We start from the raw sequence: 22,522 nt of genomic DNA on the forward strand, positions 1-22,522 counted from the left end.
AGGTGTGTCAACTCTTAAAATCATACCAGCTTGCTGTACTGCAACAAACACAAATATTAGTTTTTACCATTAGGTGTATTGCATGTCATTATAATATTCTTTTCTCCCTCTTCTAGGAAAAGCAGGTGATATTCTCAGTGGAGACCAGGACAAGGAACAGAAAGACCCTTACTTTGTGGAGACCCCCTATGGTTATCAACTAGACTTAGATTTCCTCAAATATGTGGATGACATACAGAAGGGAAATACCATCAAAAGACTGAACATCCAGAAGAGGCGGAAGCCGTCCGTGCCATGCCCAGAACCCAGGACCACATCTGGTCAGCAAGGTATATGGACTTCCACTGAATCCCTCTCATCCTCCAACAGTGATGACAACAAGCAGTGCCCCAACTTCCTCATAGCCAGAAGTCAAGTTACATCAACTCCAATCTCAAAGCCACCTCCCCCTCTGGAGACCTCACTCCCTTTTCTTACCATCCCAGAAAATCGACAGCTGCCACCTCCCTCACCACAACTCCCAAAGCATAACCTTCATGTCACCAAGACACTGATGGAGACCCGGAGAAGACTGGAACAGGAGAGAGCCACCATGCAGATGACACCGGGTGAGTTCAGAAGGCCCAGGCTGGCCAGTTTTGGAGGCATGGGCACCACAAGCTCCCTCCCTTCTTTTGTGGGTTCTGGAAACCACAATCCTGCCAAGCACCAGCTTCAGAATGGATACCAAGGTAATGGGGATTATGGTAGCTATGCCCCAGCTGCTCCCACCACTTCCTCCATGGGGAGCTCCATCCGCCACAGCCCCCTGAGCTCAGGGATCTCCACCCCAGTGACCAACGTGAGCCCCATGCACCTGCAGCACATCCGCGAGCAGATGGCCATTGCTCTGAAACGCCTGAAGGAGCTGGAGGAGCAGGTGCGAACCATCCCTGTGCTCCAGGTAAAGATCTCTGTCTTGCAAGAAGAGAAAAGGCAGTTGGTCTCACAGCTGAAAAACCAAAGGGCTGCATCCCAGATCAATGTCTGTGGTGTGAGGAAGCGGTCCTATAGTGCGGGGAACGCCTCCCAGCTGGAACAGCTCTCCCGGGCCCGAAGAAGTGGCGGGGAATTATACATTGACTATGAGGAGGAAGAAATGGAGACCGTAGAACAGAGCACGCAGAGGATAAAGGAGTTCCGGCAACTTACAGCAGACATGCAAGCCCTGGAGCAGAAGATCCAGGACAGCAGCTGTGAGGCCTCCTCAGAGCTCAGGGAGAATGGAGAGTGCCGGTCTGTGGCTGTGGGTGCCGAGGAGAACATGAACGACATCGTCGTGTACCACAGAGGCTCCAGGTCCTGTAAGGATGCAGCTGTAGGGACACTTGTTGAGATGAGAAATTGTGGGGTCAGCGTGACAGAGGCCATGCTTGGAGTGATGACTGAAGCTGACAAAGAAATTGAGCTGCAACAGCAGACCATAGAATCCTTGAAGGAAAAGATCTATCGCCTAGAAGTACAGCTTAGAGAAACCACCCATGACCGGGAGATGACTAAACTGAAACAAGAGCTGCAGGCTGCTGGATCGAGGAAAAAGGTTGACAAAGCCACGATGGCCCAGCCGCTTGTTTTCAGTAAGGTGGTGGAGGCAGTGGTGCAGACCAGAGACCAAATGGTCGGCAGTCACATGGACCTGGTGGACACGTGTGTTGGGACCTCCGTGGAAACAAACAGTGTAGGCATCTCCTGCCAGCCTGAATGTAAGAATAAAGTCGTAGGGCCTGAGCTGCCTATGAATTGGTGGATTGTTAAGGAGAGGGTGGAAATGCATGACCGATGTGCTGGGAGGTCTGTGGAAATGTGTGACAAGAGTGTGAGTGTGGAAGTCAGCGTCTGCGAAACAGGCAGCAACACAGAGGAGTCTGTGAACGACCTCACACTCCTCAAGACAAACTTGAATCTCAAAGAAGTGCGGTCTATCGGTTGTGGAGATTGTTCTGTTGACGTGACCGTCTGCTCTCCAAAGGAGTGCGCCTCCCGGGGCGTGAACACTGAGGCTGTTAGCCAGGTGGAAGCTGCCGTCATGGCAGTGCCTCGTACTGCAGACCAGGACACTAGCACAGATTTGGAACAGGTGCACCAGTTCACCAACACCGAGACGGCCACCCTCATAGAGTCCTGCACCAACACTTGTCTAAGCACTTTGGACAAGCAGACCAGCACCCAGACTGTGGAGACGCGGACAGTAGCTGTAGGAGAAGGCCGTGTCAAGGACATCAACTCCTCCACCAAGACGCGGTCCATTGGTGTTGGAACGTTGCTTTCTGGCCATTCTGGGTTTGACAGGCCATCAGCTGTGAAGACCAAAGAGTCAGGTGTGGGGCAGATAAATATTAACGACAACTATCTGGTTGGTCTCAAAATGAGGACTATAGCTTGTGGGCCACCACAGTTGACTGTGGGGCTGACAGCCAGCAGAAGGAGCGTGGGGGTTGGGGATGACCCTGTAGGGGAATCTCTGGAGAACCCCCAGCCTCAAGCTCCACTTGGAATGATGACTGGCCTGGATCACTACATTGAGCGTATCCAGAAGCTGCTGGCAGAACAGCAGACACTGCTGGCTGAGAACTACAGTGAACTGGCAGAAGCTTTCGGGGAACCTCACTCACAGATGGGCTCCCTCAACTCTCAGCTCATCAGCACCCTGTCGTCTATCAACTCTGTCATGAAATCTGCAAGCACTGAAGAGCTGAGGAACCCTGACTTCCAGAAAACCAGTCTGGGTAAAATCACAGGTAGGTGGTACCCTGAGGACCTGGGAATGAGGAAGGATGGGGGAAAATGTCTTTCCAGAAGCTAAGGATTATTTTTTAACTGCTGGAACCATTTTTGGAGGAGAAATGGAGAAAGTTTTAGAGTGGTAATCTGTAGAATGAAAACTAAGAATCAAAATCCATAAGCACCTCTGCTGATGCTTATTATCTGGTAGCCTCACTGGCCTCTGGCTGAGGACTAACGCTGGAAGAAAAGTAAACTGGTGTTGGCTGGCCTAGAGGTTGTCTTCTGGGGCTGCTAGTTTGGTAAGATGCTTTATTCTTTGTCTTTCAGTTATTTACTTGCTCATTATTTATAGAACTGCCTTTAAAAAATCCTACCCTGTTTGTACCCACTATTACCAGTATATTAGCAATTGAAATACTGGCATAAAATGTTTTCAGTTAAAACGTTTATGAGAGGAGAGACTCCATTAATTCATTCTTTAATTCAGCAAATAATTATTGAATTTGAGCCAGGTGCAATGGTACACATCCGTAGTCCCAGCTACTCTAGAGGCTGAGGCGGGAGGATTGCTAGAGCCCAGAAATTTGAGACCAGCCTGGGCAACATAGTAAGACCTCCATTTCTAAAAAAATATGAAGTAAAAATCATTATTACTTGGATTCCTACTCTGTCTCAAGCTATAGGCTGTGAAGATAGTGTGAACAAAACAGAACAGAGCCCCTGTCCCTGCGGTGCTTACATTCTAGGTGGGGTGCAGGATATAGACAGTAGACCTATAACATGTCAGGAGGCGATAAATACTGTGAAGAAATTAACTCCGGTTATGGGAACAGCGAGTGGTAGTGGTCAGGGTGAGGGCTGTTTGAGATGAGGTGGTCAAACTTGGAGAGAAGGGAGTCTTTTCCCACTCATTTTTTTTTTTTTTTTTTGAGACAGAGTCGCTCTGTCACCCAGGCTGGAGGGTGGTGGTGCCATCTCGGCTCACTGCAACCTCTGCCTCTCAGGTACAAGCGATTCTTGTGTCTCAACCTCCTGAGTAGCTGGGACTACAGGTGCCCACCACTATGCCCAGCCACTTTTGTATTTTAGTAGAGATAGGGTTTCACCACATTGGTCAGGCTGATCTTGAACTCCTGACCTCAGGTGATCTACCCACCTCGGCCTCCCAAAGTGCTGGGATTACAGACATGAGCCACCACACCTGGCCCGATAGGCGCTTACATTTTTGTCTGTCTTATTCTTTCTCGTATTCATTGGGATTCCTGCTCACTCTTCCTTCTTGAAATTGAAGCTAATAATCAGAAAGCCACCCTGGATGATTTTATGGCTTACAGTAATTCCCTGTGAGCCTTACCAACCTGATTTTGCTTGTGACCATGTGCACTGCCTCTCACAGTGTATAACATCATCCTCAGCTTAGGACCACACTGCCTGGCTTCCGTTTCTGGCTCTCCAATTCTCATGAATCAGTGTGACCTGGGAAAGAGTGTGCATTAGATTAATTTTACATGAAAATGTGTGATACAGACTTAAGCCATCCACAGAAATTCCAGTCTTTCTATTAGTGTCTGATGGGGCAATGATTAAAATAGACTGAAATATATTATTTTTATATCTTCCTAGGTTTCCACTTTCAAACCTGAATTATTGTTAGTTTTCAGTATCTGTGCTATAGGACAGTTAGTTTGTTGTGGAAGAAAAAAATGAATATGACAGCTCATGTGTGGGGTTTTTGCCTTTTAGAATCCAAAGAGTCTAATAAACATACAGGGAAGTCATTTTAGAATAAACAGGATTAAAAATGATCTGTAGACTCAAACAGAGTCTGCAAGAACTCATGCCATGTCTGCTTTGACATCCTTTTAAAAATCATGATGTCAGATGAAGTCAAAATAAAATTCTTAAATACCTCCAGACAGATGGCACAGTGGATCATCCATTATAAAAGCATTTTGTTCCCAGCCTTCCTCCCTCCTCCCCAAACTGGGGTTTCTATTTCACATTCTTGCCAGAAATATTCAGCTGTAACCCTGAAGTAATTTGCTGACCCTCTGAGCACGGAGACCAGGGAGCAAGTTCGGTCTGGCTGTGTGACAGTGTTTTTTGGTCTATTTCCAGTCACACTGACATGCCACACATCACTGGTTAGATCCAACCCTGCTAACAAACACCTAATTAATCAGCTAAAATACAGAAGACCTACAGCACTTGTGAACAAAACAATAAATATTTTTAACAGCACTTATTTAGTCACAATGGCAGCCCCTCTCAGAGCACACAAGAACAAATTTTAAGTATTTCTGTAATGCACATCATATTTGTGTTTTCACCATTTTGTTTAACGTTCTAATGAGGAATTAATTAGGTTAGGAAATGAACGCAGAGTATTCCATTTTTGTTATCTGGCATTTGTCATGTGGACTGAAAATTAAAGCAACTTGATATAGTAAAGTGGAGATGCTCAACACTTAGAAGCTTTGAGAATCCAGGTGGCCCAGGGTGCACTGTGCATTCCTGTGCACACCATACCATAGAGAATAGCACTCACCACAGTCTAGAATGTATTTCTGAACCAAAAGATATACTGGAGTATAGAAGGGTATTCATCTCAATGTTTGTTTTCCCCAAATAAAACAGTAGGGAATTTGGGTCTGACACCTACCAAAAAGAGCATATAAATGATCACTTATATGAACCTAACACAGTATTCTAATTTAAGGAAGTTGTTCAGTTTGGGCTCTGAAGCTAGACAGTGTGGGTTCACATTCTTTCTCTGTCACTAGAACAGATTGTCTTTGTTCCTTCACAGGGTTGTAATGAAGATTCAGTGAGTCAATAGGAGTAAAGCACAGAGTATAAATGCTCAATGAAAGTTGGCTGACGTTGTTGTTATGGTTAGAGTATTTCCAGAAATAGAAATGTAGATCTAGAACAAATGATGCCACACAGAAATTGTACAAGTGGTCTTTTGTTTTCAGCCTAAATTTTTATCTTCATTATTCTGGGTGATGCCCCTACCCAATTATTATACCTCTCCAACTAACCATTGTATCAATATAAAGAAGTACATAGATAACAATGGGAAACACAAAATTGATAAATGTTCAGTCCAGAGTCATTCAGAATCCGTGTCAAAGCTCAAAACGAAGTATATTAGCGGCCAATCCATAGAATTCTGTTCATTTCTCCTAGAGTTGAAGATTTGATGATGGTGTCACTTTTCAGTATGCAAAAAAGTGTTATTTTTAGCAGCATCATAATGCTTAACACTATATTTAATTTCTTAAAATTACAACTAGAGCATGCATCATAAGAAATTAATAGTTCAAGCATAGGCAACGTAGTGAGACCTTGTCTCTACAAAAAAATTTTTTTTAATTATCTGGTCATGTTATCCTGTGCCTGTAGCCTCAGCTACTCAGGAAACTGAGGTAGGATGATCTCTTGAGCCCAGGAGGTTGATTTGAGGCTGCAGTGAGCTGTGATCACACCACTACACTCCAGCCTGGGTGACAGAATGAGACCTTGTCTGTGGGTGGGGGTGGTGGGGGGAGATTGTGCACGGTGGCTCACACCTGTAATTCTAGCATTCTGAGAGCTGAGGCTGGCAGAGTGCTTGAGCCCAGGAGTTCGAGACCATCCTGGGCAATATGGTAAAACCCCGTCTTTACTAAAAATACAAAAATTTGCCAGGCGTGATGGCAGATGCCCGTAGTCCCAGCTACTCAGGAGGCTGAGGTGGGAAGATCACCGGCGCCCTAGAGGTGGAGGCTGCAGTGAGCCATGATTGTCACCCACTCTAGCCTGGGTGACAGAGTGAGACCCTGTCTCAAAAAAAGAAAAGAAAAAGGAAAAAGAAATTAAAAGTTCAGAAGAGCATATAATAAAAGAGTTAAAGCCTCCCTGGCACACTCCTGTGGTAGCCCGCGTGTGTTTGGTATTTACAGATGTCCATGCTTGCACGTCTGTATTTTAGAAACATATATTTTTGTAATAAAATTTGAATCATACATAGTCCGCCTCTTTGTTTTTTCACCTAAAAGGTCACGAACATTTTTCTAGGATTTGAGAGACAATGTCTTGGTTTTGATGGAATTGGAACCTGATAGTGACCAGAGGTGTTCTGTATTTTTTAATTCCTGATAGTATGAGTTTAATGCATTTAATATTTTCTTTTATAAAATAAAAAAGTTAAGAGGAAATGAGTTTCTGTTATAACAAAAATGTTGGTAAAAAAAAGTTTATTCTTCCTGTAAATCAGTTGGATTGTTTTCGTTTGAGGCATAGATTAGTGTTTTCTTTTTTTAATTACTATTTTCTTCTAGAGAGGGAAGAGGAGAGAGAAAATTCCAGATAAATGACTTACAGATACTCTAAAAATATATAACTGTCTCTGAGCAAATACAAACAAAACTATAACAGTGGAATTTAACTGCCTGCCCCATGATTTATAGAACATTCATCTCTCATACTGAAAAGACCTGCTTTTTAAAATCAGCTTCCGTATTTATACTCTTAGTTATCTTAGTTCATCAAAAGTTAATGAACTCGAAGTCATTCCCATAACTATGAAAGTAAGTTGTAGACAAGAGATCTGAGCCAAAGCAAAAGTAGTCATTACAAAATACGTTTCTAGGTAGTTTTCTCCTCGTTCAAATAATATATCATTTACCTGTCTTAGCACTTGGCTTCTTAATCACTTTCTTTTAATGCTCAAAAGCACCAAAACAATGCAATCCAAGTGTTTCTGGGACCCTGCAGATATAAAAATATGATGTAGGTAGTGGAAGGCCTAGAAGTCAGAAGAGCTGACCTCTCATACTGGCTGTGTAGGTAACTTGCTGTGTCTTTTTTTTTTTTTTTTTTTTTTTTTTACTCTTAAGACAGGGTCTCACTCTGTCACCCAGGCTAGAGTGCAGTGGCATGATCACAGCTTGCTGTAGCCTGAACTTCCCGAGCTCTAACCATCCTCCCTCTTCAGCTTCCCAAGTTGCTGGGACTACAGGTGCATGCCACCATACCTGGCTAATTTTTGTATTTTTAGAGACAAGGTCTCCCCATGTTGCCCAGGCTGGTCTTGAACTTTTGGGCTCAAGCAATTCGCCTGCCTCAGCCTCCCAAATTATTGGGATTACAGGTGTGAGCCACCATGCCAGGCCACTGTATCATTTTAGAAAGGGAGATTGTGGACTTCCATGGCCTCCTGTGTCAAATAAATAGGGTGAGATTAGTTTTTCTCCTACAGTCCCTTCAGCAGGATTATTCTGTACAAGTGTGAGTTAACTGTTTATGTTGGTGACCACACATGTATTAGCATTCAGGCTGAGGTCTGAGAGGAGAGCGTAGAAACAACATATTTGTCCTTTCTCCTCTATCAAAGCTACATGCTTTTCCTCACAAAGTAGTATGTACCAAAAAAGAAGATGGTCCTTCATGAATAATCTCTACTGCCTGTTCCCCAAACCATCATTTGGGCTTAAAGAGTGAATTCATGCTCGAGCCCTTTTTTTTTTTTTTTTTTTTTTTTGAGACACAGTCACACTCTGTCACCCAGGCTGGAGTGCAGTGGTGCAATCTCAGCTCATCGCAACCTTCACCTCCTGGGTTCAAGTGATTGTCCTGCCTCAGCCTCCTGAATAGCTGGGACTACAGGCACACGCCACCAGGCCCGGCTAAATTTTTTTTTATTATTATTTTTAGTAGAGACGGGGTTTAACCTTGTTGGCCAGGCTGGTCTCGATCTTCTAACCTCATGATCCACCCACCTCGGCCTCCCAAAGTGCTGGGATTACAGGCGTGAGCCAGCGCGCCCGGCCTCAAGCCCTTTTTCTTAAAAACAAACATTATTTCAGATCCCTTTGAATTTTTAGTCATACTTTGGGAAAGTAACCTAAATATTTGAAAGGACTCCATAATGAATTGGAAATTTCAGTCCTACCTGTTCTCAATGAGTAAGTTTAGATGTTCTTTAAAAATTAAATCAGAATGTCAAGCTGAAAATGTGGCACAGCTACATGGTTAGTTAGCTGGCTACACTCTTCTTTTTTGTGTTTTCAGAAAGTTCTTGGCACTATCAATACAAATGTAGATCAGCATACCAGAACAGTTGGAATAGGTGAACAGAGCAACTTTTAAAATCCATTTTAATATATTTTTTTAAATTGATTTTCTAACAAATTTGGAAACCCATGGCTATATACCAATAACTAATACCCATTCTGGACAGATAAATGTTACACAGAAGACTGGAGAATTGATCTCTTTAAAACCCATTCAGCTCTAGTTTTGGGTGATTTTTTTTTTCTTTTTTTAAGAGATGGGGTCTTGCTTTGTCACCCAGACTAGAGTGCAGTGGCATGATCCGGGCTCACGCCACTGCAGCCCCCAACTTCTGGGCTCAGGGCTCAAGTGATCCTCCCACCTTCCAGCTCTAGTTTCACTGAATTATTTTTCTTGTAAAACAGTTTGCTTTTAACATTCCTTTATGTCAAGGACATAAAGTTTTCATTTTAAGTGGCTTGTTTTTCATTATAGTCATCTCATTTGCCTTAGAATTTAATATATGGATAATTATAAAAGCTAAGTGCACTTCGGAATGATAATTAATGCATCAAAGGTGTTCCTCTTATTTTCCAGGACACTGAGATTTCTGTCACTTGTTGTCCTTTAGTGATCACTAATCTGACCAAGTCGTAAAATGAGGCTCATGCTTTATTGGTGTTTATGGCTGTTATAAGTTTGAGTTAATGATAGAAGACTTCACAGTTGCCCACTCTGCTGTCCATTAACTTCCCAGTTGTGCCTGTGAAAACCGTTGCCACCTGGTGAGAATTTTGAGCATCTAGACCAGAGTGCCAGAATTCTGAAGGTGTTTTGTAATTACTCCACATGTTGCTGTCGTTTTGTTTTGTTGAGACAAGGTCTCACTCTGTCTTCCAGGCTGGAGTGCAGTGGTGCAATCATAGCTCACCATAGCCCCTAACTGCCAAGCTCAAGCTGTCCTCACACGTGAACCTCCCAATAGCTAGGACTACAGACACTTACCACCATGCCCAGCTGTTTTTTGTTTTGTTGTGTTCTGTTTGTTAGAGAGGGGGGTCTCACTATGTTGCTCAGGCTGATCTGCAACTCCCAGGCTCAAGCAATTAACCTACCTCAGCCTCACTAAGTGCTGGGATTACAGGCGTAAGCCAATGCACCCAGCCTGTTTTTTGTTTTTCCTCAGAGACGGGGTTTCATTCTGTCACCCAGGTTGGAATGCAGTCTCAATCTCCCAGCCTCAAACCATCCTCCAGCCTCAGCCCCTCAAAGTACTGGGATTACAGGTGTGAGCCACTCCCAGCCTGTAATTACTCCTGTTTTTATCCCTATTGTTCAGGGAGCATTTACTTTCTGTTTAGTATGAACATCTACCATTAGTGGCCCAGGGCTGTTAATTAAACCACCAGCAGTTCCTAAAAATTCACATGGATCCAAGTTGATGGGTTGAAACTAGAGGGGAGTCTAAATTCTTAATTTCAGTAGTCAGCTTTTATATTGGTTAATTTAATTCAGTGGATCTCAATCCTGGCAGCACAATAGAATCACCTAGGGAGAAGTTTGAAAATACTGATGCCTGCAATTGGAGACACTAGTTGTATTACCAAGGCTTTGACTGGAATGGCATGTTTACAGAGTGCTTTGGGGAACTGAAGTTGATCTTTAGAGCCAATGGAAGCCCCTTGGAAAAACTGACCTCCCTCATACCTTGTCCTTTACAGGGTTCCTAACCTGTGGTAAGTAAAGAATGTCACTTTCTGACAAGCTCAGGAGCCCCACGTTATTTTGGGACCTCGGGAAAAGAGGAAGTCACCTAATTTATATAGGTATCTGCAGGCACAAATAAATTCTTGGCTGGGCTCAAGAGGTTTGTAAAAGGTCTAATTTGAGATTCCTTATGAAAAATGTCAGCAAAGTCAATGTAAAAGAAAAAGGGGGGGCCATATGGCAAATACTTACTCTTGCTGCACTTTATGCAAATAATTAGCCCAAGCATAATAAGACTAAAACTTATTTTGGAAATAAATTGGTCCCACTATGATTGGTCTTTGGTAGAAATAGAAAACCAGAGAGAGAAAAATTATGTTTCAGAAAAACTATAGTACCCCTTTTATTGACTCCAGCTTTGTCCACTTTTTTGGATAAGGTCATCTGCTGATAACTCAATAATTGATTGGTTCTCAGGGTCATTTACCTGGGTCCCTCAAGGCTTCAGGTTGGTTCTACAGGGACTCCTGAAGCTAGGACTTTCACTTCTTGTGGTAGGGCTTACTATTAATCTTACAGTCTGCTGTTCACTTATGTGCTGTACTAAAACTGTGGATAAGAATGACCCCAACCAGACACCAGTGAAGGCATACGGTCAACTTGAAGACGGTTTCACTCCTCTTACCTTGGGGGCAACCCCTTCCCCAACAATGTTCCATAAGCAAGAAGAAATTAGAGCTGTCATTAGCCTTTCCCATCTCCATAGCTCACACCTCAGGATTGAGGTGTACCGAAACCCAAGGGGGTGGGGACATTGAAACTGCCTTTCCAAAATCATGACAGTAAAAGAAACCTGACATAGCTGACTCCGTCTTACTTCTGACCTCCAAGCTGTCCTTGTTCATTCCTAGGCACAGGCCAAGCTAACTGTGGGTAGAATTTGGTTTATAATTTAACCTTAAAGCAAGGATGATAATAGCCCTTCCCAAGACTAAACTGCCTTTGTAAAACTAATGAAAGCACACAAGGTTAGAATTATGGACGGGCCCTGAATTCTATTTTATTTATTTTATTTTTTTGAGATGGAGTTTCACTTCAACTGCAAATAAGTGTTCATTCTCTCTCTCTCTCTCTGTCTCTCTGTCTGTCTGCCTCTCTTGCTCTCTCTCTCTCATATCTGGACCCATCCAGATCATTGTATCTACATTTTTTAAAGTCTCACCCTCGATTCAGGTGATTCTAAAGGGTAGCTAGGGTTGAAACGACTGAATTTTGTTTGTTGGCCTCTTTGTTCTTTGGCTTTCCTGGCTGCACGTTTTCTTCGTTTTGCTCAAACACAGCAGTCATTTGTCAGTCTTACATTGGTGCATGCGGTGCCTACAACTACAAGTGGGTCCTTATCAAGTTCAGAGAATTGTTTATAGGCCACTCAAGACCAGCCAGAGTTTCAACACCATCCAAAGAACATTTTCTGGCAATATAGGTGACCAATTCCCTCTGACTTGACAAAGGAGAGCCAGTTTGGAATTTAATGAGGTTCTTTTCCTTACCAGTTAAGCCTCAGTAGAATCCTCATGACCTTTGGTTGAATTACATGGACACTTATTAAAGGCTCTCAATGGTCCCGCACTGTTCTAAGCACTGGACAGGACACCAAATAAGAATGTAGCAGGGAGGAACTCAAGATGCTGACCATCTCATTGAGGAGACAGGGCATATTTGAATCTGGACCGTAAGTGCTACAGGACAATGATGGGGAAAAAAGACATCTCTGTGGAATGGTTGGAATGGTATCATAGAAAAAAGACTAGAGAAGATAGAATTTGGGCCAAGCCTTGAAAAGAGTATGGGTCGAATTCAGCTGGTGAAGGATGGCGAATTTCCAGACCTGTAGGATGATCTAATTACTCCCTACTCACAGAGTTGGAGTAATTAAGTCACAGGACCACTCTGAACAGAATGGACAGAGTGGAGGAGTAGCTGAGAGGTAAAGTTCCCGCAGGCAAGATGAAACCTTCCACCTTGACCCTTGGATGCCTGCAGGAGGAGGTGGACCTTGATTGGAGAAGCTTTAAAAAGCCCTAGTTTACAAAAGTAAGCTGTGGTGAGAAAAATTATAGCACCTGGTATTCCTGGGTGACACTATCTGGAAGGGGTGGGAGGAAAGGCTTACCAGGTTGTTAGAAATGTTCTGTATCTCTGTTACAGAGGTGGTTACACAGGCGTATACATCTACCAAATTCCATCCGACTTACACTTAAAATCAGTGCATTTTCGTGGGGCATGATCACAAGCACCTGGGTCCTGTGTCCTAGCTACTCCAAAGGCCAAGGTGGGAGGATTGCTTGAGCCCAGGAGTTCAAGGCTACAGTTAGCTATGATCACATTCCATTGCACTCTAGCCTGGGTGACAGTGTGAGACCCTGTCTGTAATTCATTCTGTGCATTTTATTGTCTATAAATTGTGTTTGAATTTTTTAAAAATTTTAAGTTGTATTTAAACAAAGAGAACCTATGGATTAAAAGACTTTAAAATAATAGCAACCAATGGAAATACATGACTGGAATTCTGATGCAAACACCCTATTAAAGAAATTTTTTAGAGACTATTGGAGATTGGGCACAGTAGCTCATGCCTGTAATTCCAGTACTTTCAGAGGCCAAGGTGGGTGGATAGCTTGAACCCAGCAGTTCGAGACTAGCCTGGGCAACATAGTGAAACCCATCTCTATTAAAAATACGAAAAAAAAAAAAAAAGAAGCCAGGCGTGGTTTTGTACGTCTGTGGTCCCAGCTATTTGGGGGGCTGAGGTGGGAGGATTGATTAAGCCTGGGAGACAGGTTGCGGTGAGCAGAGATCACGCCACTGCACTCCAGCCTGGGTGACAGAGTGAGATGCCATATCAAAAAAAAAGACTATTGGAGAAATTTGAATACTGACTGGATTATGTGATAATCATACTTATCTTTTTTTAAGATTTGATAGTTTTAGCCTCAATGGTTTGCATTTTTTAGAGTTCTTTTAGGGACATATACTGAAATATTTATGGATGAAAATGATTGAATCTCTAGCTGTTGCTTCAAAATAATCCAGTGTGAGTGGGCAGAGGGAGTTATCAGGGAAACCAGATGTTTTCTAATCATTGTTGAAGCTAGTAATGGGAAGACAGGAGTTTATTAAACTATTATCTACTTTTGTATCTGTTTTATGGTTTCAATAATAGTCAAAACTATCATGTATTTGCATTTAAAAAGTCATTGTTGGTTATTGAAGAGGAAAATGCTTCGTACAAGCATTTCTCTACAAAGAGTGTTCTGGCGGCCAGGCACGGTGGCTCACACCTGTAATCCCAGAACTTTGGGAGGCCGAGGTAGGTAGGTGGATCACTTGAGGTCAGGAGTTCGTGACCAGCCTAGCCAACATAGTAAAATCCCGTCTCTACTAAAAATACAAAAAACAGCTGGGCGTGGTGGCGGGCACTTGTAATCCCAGCTACTCAGGAGGCTGAAGCAGGAGAATCACTTGAACCCGGGAGGTGGAGGTTGCAGTGAGCAGAGATCGCGCCACTGCATTCCAGGCTGGGCGACAGAGCGAGACTCAATCTCAAAAAAAACAAGAGTGTTCTGGCATTCAGTGATTAACTAGTGAGACTTTTTGGAGGCCGCTGCAATATTTTCTAAGTAATGATGAATGGACTTGGAGAAGGAAAAATGAAGATAAATGCCCTGCTTTATCTACTTTGCTTAAAATAAGTCAAAGGCACATTAGGCATTTCATATTTGCAGTTAGGGGACATCAAGTCACATAGTGTGAAACGTTGTTTGGACCGCTGAATTCAGTATTGTGTGTATGTGTGTTGAGGAGGAAGTTGGAGTTGTAAAGGAATCGTCCAGGTAGCCCCCATGTCCCACAGCTAAAGGAGAAAGCATTGTGCTGTTGATTTGGGGACAGGGGACTGTTCACCGAATTAGGAAATGTGAGTTCTCGTTCAGCTCTGTGGCCTGGGGCAAGTCCTGAACCTAGCTGGCCTTCAGAATCCTTAGCTGGAAGTCTGGAATTAAAAATTAGGTGATATCCCTTGAGGTCAGGAGTTTGAGGCCAGGCTAACCAACATGGTAAAACTCAGTCTCTACTAAAAATACAAAAATTAGCCAGGCATGGTTGTGCACACCTGTAGCCCCAGCTACTTGGGAGGCTGAGGCAGGAGAATCGCTTGAACCCGGGAGGCGGAGGTTGCAGTGAACTGAGATCACGCCACAGCCCTCACTCCAGCCTGGGTGACAGAGCAAGACTCTGTCTCAAAAAAAAAAAAAAAAAAATTTAGATGATCTCTAATGCCTTACATTGAATTTTTTGCCAGCTCTCACTCTTTTACTATAGCGTCATTGTTTTAAACCAGTCAAAGTAGACCACCTGCATCAGTGATTCTTGTAGGTGGTGGGGAATGTCAGAAATGCCATCACTTGGCCCCCATCCCAGAACTGCAGAATGATCTCCTGGCAGCATGTTCCTGGGAATCTGCATTTTAGCCAATGTCACAGGTGATTCTTATGAAGAATAGAACTCAGAGCAGTTTTAGGGCTTGTTATTCGTTCTTTTTCTTCATATTGCCTCAAAATACAATCAACACTTAAGCTGCTTTTCTTCTAAGAATCTAAGAGATTTCAGAGCTTTACTTTGAAAGGGATAAAGTTGTGATCACCTGACATTGTGAGTAGATTTAAATGTTTAATTTTTGTTAGTAATTTATAAAGTATAATTTAGGAAATACTAGAGACAAAAAGAAAAAAGTTATAGTAGCCTGTGACTCTTTAGCCTTAGCAAAGCAGTGTTAAATGGGTTTCCTGTATATCCTTCCATGATTTTTCTAATACATACATATGTAAATATAATTATTTACTAATGCCAGTAGGCAGCAATGAGAACAAAACCTCTTTTGTATTTTTTTTTCCCATGAGTCAAACAAAAGACTTCAGATTCAGATCAATTCTGGTGTGCTAGGGCAGGCCTTTCCTACAAGGGGTGGAGAGGCCAGCCTTTCTTCTCTTGGTGGGAATGGCCTGAGCTGTGTTGTGGGGCAGGCCGCTGATTTGTGTGATGTATCATTAGAGGGAATAAGCCCATTGATCTTTTCTAGTTTCCGTTAAACTTGAACTGAGAGGCCAGGCACGGTTGCTCACGCCTCTAACCCCAGCACTTTGGGAGGCTGAGGCGGGTGGATCACCTGAGGTCAGGAGTTCGAGTCCAACCTGGCCAACATGGTGAAACCGAGTCTCTACTAAAAATACAAAAATTAGCTAGGCATGGTGGCACTTGCCTGTAGCCCCAGCTACTCGGGAGGCTGAGGCAGGAGAATCGCTTAAACCGGGAAGGCGCAGGTTGCAGTGAGCCAAGATCGCACCACTGCACTGTAGCCTAGCAACAGAGTAAGACTCTGTCTCGAAAGAAGAAAACTTGAACGGAGACAAAAATTAAAAATAAGGCCAGGCGTGGTGGCTCATGCCTATAATCCCAACGCTTTGGGAGGTCAAGGCGGGCAGATTTCCTGAGGTCACAAGTTCAAGACCAGCCTGGCCAACATGGTAAAACCCCGTCTCTACTAACAATACAAAAATTAGCCAGGCATGGTGGCAGGTGCCCATAATCCCAGCTACTCGGGAGGCTGAGGCACAAGAATCTCTTGAACCAAGAAGGCAGAGGTTGCAGTGAGCCAGGATTGCTCCACTGCACTCCAGCCTGGGCAACAGCACAAGACAAGACACTCTCTCAATTAAAATAAAAAATTATTTACCAAAGTAGGTTTATTTTCTCCGTATTATTGTATGACCTATTTTTAATACACATCATGCTCATCTATGTTAATATTCTCCTATATCAAGATTTGTAATGGCCATATAGAATTCCTCTGTATAAATATACCAGTGCTTATATGGTTGTTTCTTACAAGCAGACTGTCTGCCTCTTTTTACTGTTTTAAACATGGAAACAATAGCCTTCTGTGTCTTTTTGTACATCCTTAGGATAAAACTTTTAGACAATTAAGTGAAATAATTTTTCATTTTTAAAAGTGATTTTGAACACAGTTAACCCATATTCACTATAGAAAAAATGGCAAATCCAAGGAAATTTTTTTTTTTTTATTAGAGTCTCGCTCTGCCGCCCAGGCTGGAGTGCAGTGGGACGATCTTGGCTCACTGCAACCTCTGCCTCCCGGGTTCAAGTGATTCTCCTACCTCAGCCTCCCGAGCAGCTCTGGATTACAGGCACTCACCACCATGCCCAGCTAATTTTTGTATTTTTGTAGAGATGGAGTTTCACCATGTTGGCCAGGCTGGTCTCAAACTCCTGACCTCAAGTAATCTACCTGCCTCAGCCTCCCAAAGTGCTGGAATTACAGGCATGAGCCACCACGCCCAGGCTAATCCAGGGAAAAATTAAAACTACCATAGCTGTTTCATTTAGCACAGAGTCAGATAACTTTTCATGTGTGTGTGTGTGTGTGTGTGTGTGTGTGTGTGTGTATGTGTGTGTGTGGTAATGTATTTTAATAGGATCACACAATACATGGAATTTTATTATCTGCTTTTTTCAATTAACCATATATTACAAACATTTTTCCACATCACCCACATTGAAAATTCTACAATATATCTGTAAACCAAAAATAAAATTCTAAGCCCCCTAACCAACGGAATAGATCCCTCCTGTCAGCCAGGGGATTCCATAGTAAACCTGAAAAACTAGTTCAGGCCATGATGGGAAGGAAGTGTCAAACATGCCTCATTATACCCTCCTCCCTTTGGAATTCAGGCACAACTGACCAGCATTAACATTAAAACAGAGATCTTAGGAGTGACAAACAGACTCTTTATACCAATAAGATAACAAATTCCAACCTGACTCTCCTATAGCATCACATGACAGCAGACCCTAAAAGAAAATGAAGTATTTTACCCTAAAATATATTTCTTCGATGTATTTTGTCTTTTTTTGTTTTGTTTCTTTTGTTTTCTTGAGATGGAGTCTCCCTCTGTCACTCTGTCACCCAGGCTGGAGTGCAATGGCACGATCTAGGCACTACAACCTCCACCTCCGGGTTCGAGCCATTCTCCTGCCTCAGCCTCCCAAGTAGCTGGGACTACAGGCACCCCCCACCATGCGTGGCTAATTTTTGTATTTTTAGTAGAGACGGGGTTTCACCGTGTTGACCAGGCTGGTCTCGGACTCTTGACCTCAGGTGATCCACCTGCCTTGGCCTCCCAAAGTGCTGGGGTTAACAGGCATGAGCCACTGCTCCCGGCCTCTTCGATGTATATTGAAATGGCCCTGCAAGGCTGTCTCTTGTGGGGAATATCTACATTATGTAGTGAATCCCCTTACCTGTCCAGGCCTTTTCCTGATCCAGGAGAGATTCAGAGTCTGGTACCTATTTAGGTCTGAAAAGAGACATTTACCATCTATATAGAGGTCTGAAAAGTGACGTTTACCATCTATGTAGATGAAGCCTGCTACCTGGAGGCTTCATCTACATAATAAGAACCTTGGTCTTCACAACCCCTTATCTTAACCCAGACACTCCTTTCTGTTGATTGCAGGCCTTTAGATAATAAGTTAACTTTTTCAACCATTTGCCAATCAGAGTATCTTTGAATCTACCGAAGACCTGGAAGCCCACCCTTATTTGAGTTCTTCCACCTTTCTAAACTAGTGTATACCTTACATGCATTGATTTGTGTTTGCCTGTAACTTCTAGTCCACTAAAATGTATAAAATTAAGCTGTAACCCAGCCACCTTGGGCACATGTTGTCAGGACCTCGTGAGATTGTGCTTTTGGCCTTGGTCATTCATACTTGGCTCAGAGTAAACCTCTTTTTTACAGAGTTTGACTCTTTTCATTGACATATCTGTATACATTAATTACAAAATATTATTTAATCCAAATTGCTTCGGTCAGTATACAGATTTTAAGTGGCTAACATATACAAAAGCACTCTAGTAGATTTGTTAAGAGAAAGTTGATCAGAACTGTTTGATGCCCTCAAAATATTTACCATCTACAAGGGAGTCTAAAACCATCATACAAGTCATCTTGTACATTGTATCACAGATCCCCAGGAGAAGGTACAAAAGATGGGCTGTGAGAGTTCAGGGCAAGAACATTGTTAGTGAAGGAGATCAGGGAAGGGTCTGAAGAGGCAGTGATGGGAGGGTGCGGCTGTGTGAAGATGGGGGAAGAAAGGTATTCCAGGTAGTAGAAGGGCATAAGCTGAGGCATGCTGCCAGGAAACAAGAGACCCGCATCTCTATACAGCGAGTCCTGGCACTTAATGGGATGCAGTCCCTGTCCCAGTAAGGACGACAGGAGGAGTGGGAAATGAAGTTGCGGGGGTCAGCCAGTACCAGGTTATGGATAGTTTAGAATCTCTGGCTCTGCAGTGTGGACTACATTTCCTGAGCAGTGGGTGCTTTTTAGGCGTTGTCACATTTTGTTTTAGCTGGAATAATGATGGCATTGGAGCTGGCTGGGAGTAATGCTCTGAAGCATTGTGCCAGAGTGGAAGTAGTAATGGAAGAGGGGCAGTAAAATGCTACTTCCATGACTAGAAACCAAGGCTATGACGGTAGCAGCCAAAACAGAGAAAAGAAGAGGTGCTGTGGAGTTAGAATGACGAGGCCCGGCAGTCTGCCTACGCTAATGAAATCAGGAAAGCTGGAGCGTCAAAGGGGCTTCTGAGTTTTGGTGGCTGGGATAATAGTCCCATTTTAAATTATGAGTGGCAAGAATTGTTTTTGTTGAAGCCTGCTTTTTCAGTCCTAGCATCACACACTCTGTACCTTTCTTTTTCCTGATAGGCAATTATTTGGGATATACCTGTAAGTGTGGGGGCCTTCAGTCAGGAAGTCCCTTAAGCTCCCAGACATCCCAGCCTGAGCAAGAAGTGGGGACCTCAGAAGGAAAGCCAATCAGCAGCCTGGATGCCTTCCCCACTCAGGAAGGTACGCTGTCTCCAGTGAACCTGACAGACGACCAGATCGCCGCTGGCCTCTATGGTAACTTTTCTCACTCACAGTCATTGGCATCAGGATTCTAGGGCCAGCATTGCCAGCATTCCAATTTAATGTCAATGTACCTTTTAAATTGACCTGGAAGAAAGTTAATATCGTTATTTGGAAGGTAGGCCCAGAATATCTTTAAATAAGGTTACCAAAGAGGCCGGGCATGGTGGCTCACACCTGTGATCCCAGCACTTTGGGAGGCCAAGGCAGGCAGATCATTTGAGGCCAGGAGTTCGAGACCAGCCTGGCCAACATGGTGAAACCCCATCTCTACTAAAAAATACAAAAATTAGCCAGGCATGGTGGTGCACACCTGTAGTCCCAGCTACTCCGGCGGCTGAGGTGGGAGAATCACTTGAACCTGGGAGGTGGAGGTTGCAGTGAGCTGAGATCACGCCACTGCACTCCAGCCTGGGTGACAGAAAGAGGCCCTGTCTCAAAATTACGAAAGAAAGCTGTACAAGAAAGCTTACCTGATATTACAAATTATGAAATATTTTAAATAGCATTTTATTCACGTTCTGGCAGGCATAAGTTTTTTCAGGTTATCTCAGCTGAAGAAGAATAATAATCCCTGTTTAGTACGTAAATGGTCCTTGAGGCTCGTGAGACACGACATCACTTTATAAGCAGTAAAGCCGGATACAAATGTCAGTTTTCACTGGCTTTGTTATGTCTGGAAGGACTAATTGATTTTTTTCCCATGTGAAGAATGTTATTAATGGAACTTTGAATTATTTTCTTTGCATGCACACACTTTCCCATTGAATTTTGTGGAAACTTCTCACATATATATGCCAAGATCTACATTTACATGCATGAGAAAAGAACTGTACAGGAAAAAAGATCATTTAACATGTATGGGTGTGAGTTTTCATTTTTATTGCCTTGACTTTTTCACAGCATGTACAAACAATGAAAGTACACTGAAGTCCATCATGAAGAAGAAAGATGGTAACAAAGATTCAAATGGCGCAAAAAAGAATCTTCAGTTTGTTGGCATTAATGGAGGGTAAGGAAAGATGGTGGTTCTAGAGGCTAATGCTGTCAGTCTCCTTTACCTCCTGCCTAAGTCACATTTCAAGGCGCCTAGTCGGGGAAGCGGCCACAGCGCAGTGATGAAAGATTCCCTCCTCAGAAAGGCAGAAAGGTGCATTTGGGCTTTGCTTTCCTCCTCTGGTGCTGTCTTTAAGGATTTGTCACTCTCTTAAGGATACCTGATGAAGCTGAGCGGTTTACATCTCCTCACCTCTGATCTGAAAGAAATAGTCTTCAGCGAACGCAGCAGGGTTCCTGCACTGTGTTGGACAACTTGTACTTACCTATACGAGAACTCACAATTGAGCAGAAAAAGACTGAGAGCATCACTCTCTGGGCCAACGATCGTCATCTTTTCCTTCAAAATGGGTCCTTTTGCTTAGCTCTCCATGTTTACGACCCAAATTGTAGGGCCTTTCACAATTGATAACCACATCACCAGTTTGCTTTCTAAATAGAATGGTTATTGTTTGTTCCTTCTCTTTGCATTGGCCCACGTACATAGTTAAGCCCCTTTGTTGTCCTACAATTGAATCAAATCAATGAATTGATACATGGCCCCCACAAGAAAGAAATAATACAAAGTGTACCATTAGGGTTTAACCTTATGGTGCCTGTTTTCCAAATCTAGAAGTTTTATTCAGTGATAATGGCCAGGAGATTTTGGAGGGCATACACCAGAAAAACTATCGATTGCCTATGTAATCTATTCCCCTTGATACTGGGAGAATTAATAGGATGAAATAGGAAGACATGGGGTGGGGGGGGGACAAAAAGCACCTACCGATCTGTTTTCCATAAAGTATGTTTTCTCATGATTTATGCTAAGCCGGAGATGCCATTATTTTCTTTAACAAGTGTTACATGATACCAATTGGTTATATGATACCGATAACCAGTTTAAGTTAGAGTCCATTCAAAACCACCAGGCATTTAAATAGACCTTACTTTGAACTTCTAAGTGCAGGATCTAAAACCACTAGTGAAATTTCTGGAGTCAATTAGCAAATCCCTTCATAGAAATTTCTATCACTGGGTCTTCGTGAGCACACCTTGCATCTCCTGAAATCCCAATTGCCACCTAGGTATGAAACAACTTCAAGTGATGATTCCAGCTCAGATGAAAGCTCTTCTTCCGAGTCAGATGACGAGTGTGATGTCATTGAGTATCCTCTTGAAGAAGAGGAGGAGGAGGAGGATGAAGACACTCGGGGAATGGCAGAAGGGCACCATGCAGTTAATATTGAAGGTTTGAAGTCTGCCAGGGTGGAAGATGAAATGCAGGTTCAAGAATGTGAACCTGAGAAGGTGGAAATCAGAGAGAGGTGTGGTACATTCCCCTTCCCTCCCTTGCCCCTCCCACATTTAATGTACTTTGGCAATAGAGTTGGCCAGTTCAGAGCTTTTGTAATTAAATGTTTGCTTTTATCTGTTCCTCAGAGGTATACACATCTTGAGATACTAATATATACAAGTGCAGAGTATTACAACTCTTAGATCTCTTATGGTAGAATGGCCTGGTACCTAATCACCCTTGTTTTCTGAAACCTTAACTCTGCTATATAATTTAACATATGGAACCACAATCCACTAAAACTTGCATTGTTTGAACACCTTACCTTATATTTAAAGACATTTTAATTTTTTGGTGGCCAGCCTACTTTAAGATTTCAGATTTTATGTTTAGCCATTTATCTTGATACAGGTGTATCATTATTACAGGATCATTGTGTGGATGAGGCCTCAGCCAAAGATCACATATACTGTAAAGATGATGCATATCACTTACATGTTTGTATTTTGTTACACATTGAATGATCAGGAATACCACAAGAATGGATTTGGGTATATCATAAATAGTAGCTGAAAAACACTCTGGTTGGCTGAAATATGTGCCTCAGAATGTAAGTTTTCAAG

General features: G+C 43.0%; 1 protein-coding gene across 63 annotated transcripts in view; it reads left to right on the forward strand.

The window, feature by feature from the left end:
- KANK1 (KN motif and ankyrin repeat domains 1) overlaps window positions 1–22,522 on the forward strand; it is a 275,809-nt gene that overhangs the window by 240,393 nt on the left and 12,894 nt on the right. For 33 of the 63 annotated variants that reach the window (XM_047423041.1, XM_047423040.1, XM_047423049.1 and 30 more), the window contains 4 exons: window positions 117–2,777; window positions 19,364–19,561; window positions 20,471–20,579; window positions 21,691–21,930. In XM_047423041.1, the coding sequence (XP_047278997.1) occupies window positions 117–2,777; window positions 19,364–19,561; window positions 20,471–20,579; window positions 21,691–21,930 (3,208 nt within the window). The remainder of the gene's footprint in view (window positions 1–116; window positions 2,778–19,363; window positions 19,562–20,470; window positions 20,580–21,690; window positions 21,931–22,522) is intronic. The other 30 variants (XM_047423060.1, XM_047423058.1, XM_047423059.1 and 27 more) reach the window with 3 other exon arrangements.

Source organism: Homo sapiens, chromosome 9 (assembly GCF_000001405.40).
Source record: "Homo sapiens chromosome 9, GRCh38.p14 Primary Assembly".
Lineage (NCBI taxonomy): Eukaryota > Metazoa > Chordata > Mammalia > Primates > Hominidae > Homo > Homo sapiens.